This window comes from Homo sapiens, chromosome 2, assembly GCF_000001405.40.
Source record: "Homo sapiens chromosome 2, GRCh38.p14 Primary Assembly".
Classification (NCBI taxonomy): Eukaryota; Metazoa; Chordata; class Mammalia; order Primates; family Hominidae; genus Homo; species Homo sapiens.
This window is the reverse complement of record NC_000002.12, coordinates 167,456,942-167,466,511: the sequence shown is the minus strand read 5'-3', so window position 1 is coordinate 167,466,511 and position 9,570 is coordinate 167,456,942. Positions and strand designations below refer to the sequence as shown.

Below are 9,570 nucleotides of genomic sequence, written 5' to 3'. Positions count from 1 at the left end.
AGTAGCTGGGATTGCAGGCATGTGCCACCATGCCTGGCTAAGTTTTTTGTATTTTTAGTAGAGACAGGGTTTCACCATGTTGACCAGGCTGGTCTTGAACTCCTGACCTCAGGTGATCCACCCTCCTCAGCCTCCCAAAGTGCTAGGATTACAGGTGTGAGCCACCGCGCCCGGCCTCAAGACCATCTTTCTTGAAATATTCGTAAATAACATGAAAATTTCTTAATGTATACTGAATAGCTCCAAATCTGATTATCAAATGTATTGTTTCTTTTGATATTATCTTAGCATCTTATGTCTTTTCAGGATAAAACAAAAACAAAAATGGCTCCCAGGACACATCAATGAAGCTAGGCCATTATTAACATTTCCTTAAGAAGAATTCATTGAAATATTTCAGTCCAACTATAAGGCATGAGGTTGCATTTATAGGAGAGTGAGCCTTCTGAAGTTGGGACACCAAGGTCTGATTGGGAGCAATGTGTTTCCTTGCCTTTAAGCAAAACCTGTGACTGACTTAGAAGCAGCAGATAATATCTGCAGATAATGTCACTGAGCTTTTCTTTCACAAAAGTCATTGTGAGAAAGGCCCTTGGAGATGGAGGGGGAAAAAAAAAAACCTTATTGAAAAGAAGAGGAAAATCAACTCACATCTTCCTCAAATTGTCCACTTTCCCTGCAGGTGTATGAAGTTATATTTTATCACTTGGTGCTATTGTGTTTAACAGTTTAATCTCAACTACTAGACCATGTTTTAGATAAGTAAAATAACGTATATTTGCTTCTTGGCGTTCTTTTTGAAATACATTTAAATATATATCTGCTGTGGTCTAAATGTATCGCCTCAAAATTCATATGTTGACACCTATCACTAATGTAATAGTATTAATAGATGGGACATTCAAGAGGTTATTAAGTCATGAGGGTGGAGTCCTCATGCGTGGAAATTATAACCTTATTAACAAGATGCAAGGGAGCTATTTGCCCTGTCTGCCCTTTCTGCCATGTGTGGACACAGCAACAAAGCACCATCTTTGAAGCAGAAAGTGAGCTGTTCCCAGACACTGAATCTGCTGGAGACTTGATCTAGCATTTCCGGCCTCCAGAACCGTGAGGAAAAAAATTCTATAATTTACGAATTACCCAATCTAAGGTATTTTTGTTATAGCAGTAAGAACAGACTGAGACAATATGTTTGATGTTTTTATGAACACTTTATGCAATGTTAAAAACATACACACTGTATTCCACCATGGGCAACAGACTGTTGGAACCCTGTCACTAAAAAATAAAATAAGATAAAATAAAATAAATACACAAACTCAAACAAGTTCAATGGACTAATTTTTCTCTTACTTTATTAACTATTTTCCTTTTGCTTAAAACTTAATACTTTCCTCTTCACATTACAGCTTAGAAAGAAAATCTTAGTTTCATACAAAGGATTAAAATACAGCAGGTAGCAGGCACCCCCAAAGTAACTTGTGAGGATGCCTTGTCTGGAATCTAAATAAATTTATTTACTTATTTATTATTAAAAGACCTTCCCTTTCCAGAACAACTTGGATACTTTAAACTAGCATCTTATTTATGTGAACACATAAACAATTGAGCAGAATGACCACAATGCCAATACAAATTTGAAAAACATTCTTGTGATCAATCATGCTGTGGATAATACATAAATAAAAAGCAGAGGGTTGAGTATATACAATATCACTGTAACTTCATTCATTGCACTCAGCATCTCATATCTATTCCTCCCTACATTGATATTTTGAGTCAATATGTCCATTCATATCCATATGAAAGATTTGCAAGTGGAGGTTAGGAAACTTTAGGTAACTTCAGTTCACTCAACTAATAATCAGAAAAGCTGAGTTTTTAATCTAAAAAATGTCACATCAACCCCCTATGATCATAACCACTATCTTGTGTTGCCTCGCTCTACTTTATATTGGATGAATTCTGATTCTACTAAACAGACGACTGACCACTATTAGCACTGTACATTTTATTTCTAGAAATGGTTTGGATTATATTTTTCTTCTTAATTGGAATGTCATGAAACTTTCAGTTGATCAAATAAAATCTTCTGTAGCAAACAACAATTTTAACTTCTTACAGGAAAAACAATTCTACTTAAAATAGGGTAAACTCAATTCTTCTCTGAAAAGAAGAATGATTATATTTCATACAGATCAAGAACTTGCATTTCCATTGTTTTGTTTTCAGGTGACCCCTTCAAGATACTACTGAAGCAGGGCCATGAGGACATTGATCATACCTTTGATGCTTTGGGTTTTTCTAATCATTAAGTGAAAATAGATCCTTTTTTAAAAAAAAAAAAAATTGCACAGGATTCTTGGTTTTTAGCAATGAACTCCTCATATAAATCATTTAAATTAACTGCTTCAGAAAGTCCTTTTCAGTTGGATTTTTGTTAGAAATTATATAAAAGATTAAAGATGGAATAATTTAGTTTCTCAGACCTGAGTAAGGCAGAGCTCTGAAAGGATGACATAGCCCAAAGCACAGCTTGTCTTAGCTCTTGCTCAGATCATTGGGGTTGGACAGGCCTTGCCAACGATGTGAACTATAGTTCCAAAATGTCAGGTCTGATCTTAAAAATGCCTCCTGTCTTTGTAGTAAAATTTCAATGAATTACCATACAACTCTTATCTCTCACTTTCAAAGAAGCTCAAATCAAATGTCTATATTACTCAGTTTATTCTCATATCTATTTTTACATTTGGTCTTACACTTTGCATTTTCATATCTTTTACTTGGCTACTCCTGGAGTACTTTGGAAATTCTAAATTCCACTTTTACATAATCTTGAAAGCACTGAAATCCATCAAAGTTGGGACTTTTGTTGGCAGACATCTGAAACATGTGCTATTGCTTTATCATATAGGTATGTGAAATGGTCAAGTAAGTGATTATGGGTCCAGATTTTAGAGTCAAACTTTCTGGGTGCCAGTCCTTAACCCATGCGATCACAGGATATCTTTTTTTCCTATTACCTTGGGTTTGTAAGAAGAATTTTATAGACAATACAGGTAAAATACTTAGAATAGTGCTTAGTATTTAGTAAGCAGTAAACAATACAGGCTATTAGTGTATTAGTAATATTATGAGGGAGGAGATGACCGTATAGACTCACGTGGAGAACCTTACACTTCTTTCTGATAAACTTTAAAAGGCACAACATGATACTATGTTCCTGATACTGCTAGGCATTATGGAGATATTAGTAAAATAAAAGATTCTGCCCTTATAGATCTTAAAATTTGGCCCAGATAAGAAGATAGTGAGAGAACAATGAAGTCCTAATTTTGCCACCAAGAAAATAACTATAATAGTTATCAGAAACAGACAAAATAAATAACCAGGACAACTCATTAGGAAAGATTTTGCAAGAAAGATGAAACTTAAGTTGTACCTTCAGGAAAAGGCTTATGGTGTTTTCCAGAAGCTGAAGTAGAAACCAAATTTCATTAACAGATACGTTCTCATTTATTTTATCATAAACAATCTCAAAAACTCTGAGGAAAAGTGCCACAGAACAAATTTATATGGCACTTACCTTTTTGTCATATTTGAAATTTTATTCTCTGAAAAAGGTGCTTCCTTTGGTATCCTTTACAGGAAACAGAAATAAAATGCAGACAGAATGGGTATAATTAGCATTAGTTTTAAAAAATATATAATGTGTTATAATGAGCTAAAGATTACTATGAGAAGAATCTATACTGAAAGAATCTTCAGAATGGTGAAAGTGATCCAGCCAACAGAAGCTAACTGCATTTAAATTATTACGATTCCTGTCTCCTCACTGAAGCTAATGATGCAAAATTACACCAACCTTTGAATGTCAGATGGTTTTCAACTCCTCTCTTCCCTTCAGTGCCCCAATCCAATTCATCGGGTATACTAAGATAAAGATGGATACAGCTGCCAATTTTTAGGGGAAAAATAATTTGATTATGGAAAAGAGGAATGGATGGAAATGAGATTTTCTTCTTATAATAAAGAAGCTTATGTAGTCCAGGGAAAGGATAAAGGTCTTGAAATCGTTTATTACATTTGCCATTTTCTCTCATAAATTTTGAGTCAGCAGTAAGGACCATGAGGAGTAGCCTAAATCAAGGACTTTCAAATTTTATGGCACAGTCCAATTGCGTGCTTAAGCTGGTTTATATCAGCTCTTGAGAGCCAACTGTTATATTCTCAGGAAGCTTGTAAGACAGCTGCTAAAGATGGCCATTATTAAAGATTCAATTATATAATTCTAAATTAATTATATTAAAATAAAAGTAATAAACACTCAAACATATCACTGCCTAACTCCTTTACTACATTTTACTATATGCTCTTGAGGTTATTTATGTCTATAGTATTTTTATTGTGGAAATATACAATGGTGTGTATTGTGCATCTTGCCCAAATTCTCCTTCGGTGATGACACACTGGTAGCTTGACATCTGCTATGAAGTGGTGTGAGGGAGGTTATTTACTCCACAGAAATTGGCAAATACTACAACTAGGGCATCTTGCCCCCACACAAATAGTTGTTAAACATTTTATATTGCAACATGGTAAAACATACATGTTCATACACATAGGTACATATTTGAAAGGAAAGGTCACATTGCTACACTCTATTTTCTATTATATTCTCTACATTACATATAAAATATTAAAATATCTGTGATTAAAATAATTATGTAATTGCCTAAAAGAATCACAATCCAAAATTGGAAGAACAATGGTGTAAATAATCCAAATAGAAAAGAATTTAGCTAATTTAAAATATACTCAAGGAAATTACATTTTACAACTTCATTTGACTAAACATAATGCTTTTGAAAATTTTTCATTATCAAATAAATATAATTTATAAATTTTTATAGCTATATGTACATTCCAAACCTTTATAATTATTTGCCATGTAGTATGAGGGTTTGACTCTAGGTACAGAGGTGGCCTCTGATTAGTCAAAAACAGTAGTTCTCAAATTTTACTGTGCACAGAGGTGAGAGGGTTCTAGAAAGATGGTGAAGTAGGAAGCACCAGGAATCTGTCTCCCCACCTAGAAAACAATTGCACTGGCAGAATCTGTCTGCTATAACTGTTTTAGAAATCTGGCGTCTATGGAAGGTTTGAAACTTTTAGAGGGATGACTGAATGGCAAATTGTGGTTAATTTTGGTCAATTTTGGCTATTAGCACAGTACTGGCTACCCAACCCCTAGACCTAGCCCTATGGCAGGCAACTATGCATGTGTTCTTGAAGCAATTGGTACATGGCTTGTGGGGCCCAGAGTGGGCAGAATGAACTCTGTCATCCAAATATCAGGAATCTGTGCTCTGATTACTGATTACTGCTTCTGATCACAGACGTGCAGACAATCAAATGAGTGGCCATTGCTGTATCCCCCTCCCATTGTTGCAAGCCCTTCCTCCTCCAGCTGAAGTGGCTTCCAAAGGAATTAAACGACCACTGACCTTCCTCCCCTTAAGTTCTCTCTTTTTACCCCTTTTAGGAACCAGGCATTAATGATTATAATATTAAAAAGCAACTGCATATATAGGGAAAATTAGAAAGCAATTGTACAAGCTCAGGGAAAGGCACAGGCTCAGAAAAGACCTAAGAAGATCTTAAGTTTACACTTCAGTTTAGTACTTGGCACAGAGATAGCCTACAACTTTTTTAACTTACAAAATAATAAACAAAAACAACAATAAAACCCAGAAAATCTTGGGAAAGAGGAAGAATCAATTTATAGAGGTACCACATTATTAGATTCAAATGTTCAGTTTTCAACAAAAAAATCACAAGGCATAAAAAGAAACCAGAAAGTATGGCACATTCAAAGGAAAAAAAAAATAGAAACTGTCCCTGAAAAAGATCTGATGGCAGATCTATTAGACAAAGACTTTAAAACAACTCTCTTAAAGTTGCCCAAAGGTTTAAAGGAAAATTTGGAAGAAATCACGAAAATCATGTATGAAGAAAATGAAATATCAGGAAAGAGACAAAAAAATCTTTTAAAAGGAAACAAGAAATTCTGGAGCTGAAAAGTAGAACACCTGAAATGAAAAATTCACCAGAAGGAGTCAAAGGCAGAGCAGGGAGAAGAAAAAAAATCAGCAAACTTGACAACAGAACAAAGGAAATTATCAAGCCTGAAAAACAGATAGAAAAATGACTGAAGAAAAGTGAACAGACCGTAAGAGACCTGTGGGACACCATCAAGCAAAACAGTATATGTGTTGTTGAACTCCCAGAAAAGTGAGAGGAAGGGGTAGGGAGAATATTCAAAGAAATAATGGATAATTTTGCAAATTTGATAAAAAACATGAATATAAACTTCTATGAAACTCAAGTGAACTGCAAGTAAGATGAACTCAAACGGATTCACACCAAGAATCATTTTAATCAAACTTTTAAATTCCAAAGTGAGAATCATGAAAGCAGTAAAAGATAAATAAATGACTTCTCACATACAGGGATTCTCAATGAGATTTTTGGTAGATTTCTCACCAGAATTTTAGAGGCCAGAAGGCAGTGAATCAACCTATTCAAAGGGCTAAAATGAAACAACAAAAACAAAAACAAAAACACCCTGTCAACCAAGAATCCTATATCAGCAAAACTGTCTTTCAAAATTAAGGAAGAAAGTAAGATATTCCCAGATAAACAAAAGTTCATTACCACTGCACCTGCTCTGCAAGAAACGTTCAAGGGAGTCCTACATGGTGAAATGAAAGGACACCAGACAGTAACTTGAAGCCATATGAAAAAATAAAAAACTCAATAAAGGTAAATCCATGAACCATTGTAAAAGCTAGTATTATTATAATAATGACTTGTAAATCTACTTTTTGTTCTCCACATGACCTAAGAGACAAGTACGTTTGAAAAAAATTATTAGTCCAAAGCTAGTATTCTTATAACTTTGGTTTGTAACTCCACATTTTGTTTTCTACATATTTGAAGAGACTAATGTATTTAAAAGAACCACCATTAGTTTATGTTTTAGGGCAGGAAACATGCAAAGATGTAATTTTATGACATCAACAACAGGAAAAGGGTTGGGAACAAAGTTATCTTTATATCAGAGTTTTGTATGTTACTGAAGTTAAGCTGGTATAAATTCAAGTTATAATATTGTAACTTTAGGATGTTAACTGTAATCTTTGTGGTAACCACACAGAAAATAGTGATAGAAAATATGCAAAAGGAAATAAAAGAGTAATTTCAACACTTCACTACAAAAAATCAACTAAACATAAAAGACAGTAATATAAGGGTGTGAGGAATAAAAAAACTAATGTATATAGAAAACAAGTGAAAAAATGACAGAATTAACTCTCTCATTGACACTAATTACTTTAAATGTAAATGAAATAATATCAGTCAAAAGACAGAGATTAGCTGAATAAATGAAAACATAAAATCCAACTACATTCTGTCTACAGATGACTCACTTTTATATCCAAAGGCACAAATAGATTGAAAGTGAAAGGATGGAAAGAATATTCCAGGCAAATACTAACCAAAAGAGAGCAGGGGTGGTTATACTAATATTAGACAAAATAGACTGATTTTAGCAAATAGATAAGTTCAGCAAAGTATCAGGATACAGTCAATACAAAAAACTTAGTTGCATTTCTATATACTAACAATCAACAACAACAAAAAAATCTGGTTTAAAAATAGGCAAAGGACTTGAACAGACATTTCTTCAGATGATAAACAAACGGCCAATAAGCACATGAAAAGATGCCACAAATCAATAAGCATTAGAGAAATGCAAATCAAAACTACAGTGAAACTTACCACTTCATACGCATTAGCATGGCCACTATCAAAACCACAGAAAATAGCAAGTGTTTATGAGGGAGTGGAGAAATCAGAACCCTTGTACACTGTAGGAACGTACAATAGTACAGCTGGTGTGGAAGACAGTAGAGAAGTTTCTCAAAAAATTAAAAATAGAATTACTATATGATCCAGCAACTCCACTTCTGGGTATGTACCCCAAAGAATTGAAAACATGGCCTCAAAGAGATATTTGTACACCCATGCTCATAGCAGCATTATTCACAATAGCTAAAACATAGAAGCAACCCAAGTGTCCAAGCGTGGATGAATGGATAAGCAAAATGTGGTTATGTACATACACTGGAATCTTATTTAGCCTTAAAAAGAAACTTCTGACACATGCTACAACACAGATGAAAGTTGAGAACATTTTGCTAAATGAAATAAGCCAGTCACAAAAAGACAAATACTATAAGATTCCACTTATATATGAGGTAGTCAAAATCATATAGACAAAAAGTAGGGTGGTGGTTGTTAGGGGCTGAGGAGAAGGGGAAATGGGGTGTTATTGTCTAATTGGTATAGAATTTAGTTTACAGGATGAAAGAGTAATGGAGATGGGATGGTGATCATGGCTGTACAACATTATAAATGTATTTAATAACATTGAATTGCATACTGTAAAATTGTTAACATGGCAAATTTTATGTTATATGTATTTTACCACAATAGAAAATAGAAGAGAAACAAATAAGTGTGTACAGAATCTTCTGTAGTGTTTGATAACATACAGATTGTTGGGGAGCACCCCAAGAGTTTCTAATTCGGTCGGTCTAGAATGGGGCCACAAAATCACATTTCTAATAAATTCTCAGGTGCTGCCGGTGCTGCTGGTTCACGGACCATGCTTTGAGAACTGCTAGTCTAATTTACTCAGAGTAACACCAAATGACTTGCCCCAGTGATTCAGTCAAGATGAGCAGCCTACACCACAGCCATTCTGCTGGTCCTCAGAATTTGCTTGAGAAATTAGTATATGATGATTTCAGCCCAAAAACATATAAAGACAAAATTGGTGATGGATTATGGAAAAGCTGCTACAGTACAATAATGAGTCAACTTTTGGAAGTCACTCTCTCTGCCTTTGATCTGCTTGTAAATATAAAACAAGGAGTACAATGGCCATTCTGTAAAGAAGCTGATGAAGGCCAGGCATGGTGGCTCACGTCTATAATCCCGGCACTTTGGGAGGCCAAGGCGGGTGGATCACCTGAGGTCAGGAGTTCAAGACCAGCCTGCCCGACATGGTGAAACCCTGTCTCTACTAAAAATACAAAAATTAGCTGGGCATGGTAGTGTGCACCTGTAGTCCCAGCTACGTGGGAGGCTGAGGCAGGAGAATCGTTTGAACCTGGGAGGCGGAAGCTGCAGTGAGCCGAGATCGCGCCACTGCACTCCAGCCTGGGTGACAAAGTAAGACTCCGTCTCAAAAAATAATAATAAAAAAGAAGTTGATGAAACTGACTGTGATAAACAAGAAACCTATATTGGGCCTTTGTCCCCAGTTCCTGCTCCACAGCTCCTAAAAACATTGGAATCTCAGGTGTGATAATAGTGTCTTTTGCATACTAATGAAATAACTAGTGGCTGTGAGCTCCTAAGAAGCATCAGGATCAGGATTGGATCTGGTTGCCAGAAAGCGAGGTTAGCCCCACTCTTTGACCTCCAAGGAGCGAA

The 9,570-nt window shown here is 35.2% G+C and overlaps 1 protein-coding gene across 2 annotated transcripts in view; it reads right to left on the bottom strand.

The window, feature by feature from the left end:
* Positions 1-9,570, bottom strand: part of B3GALT1 (beta-1,3-galactosyltransferase 1) — a 581,045-nt gene that overhangs the window by 407,534 nt on the left and 163,941 nt on the right. The window lies entirely within an intron of this gene.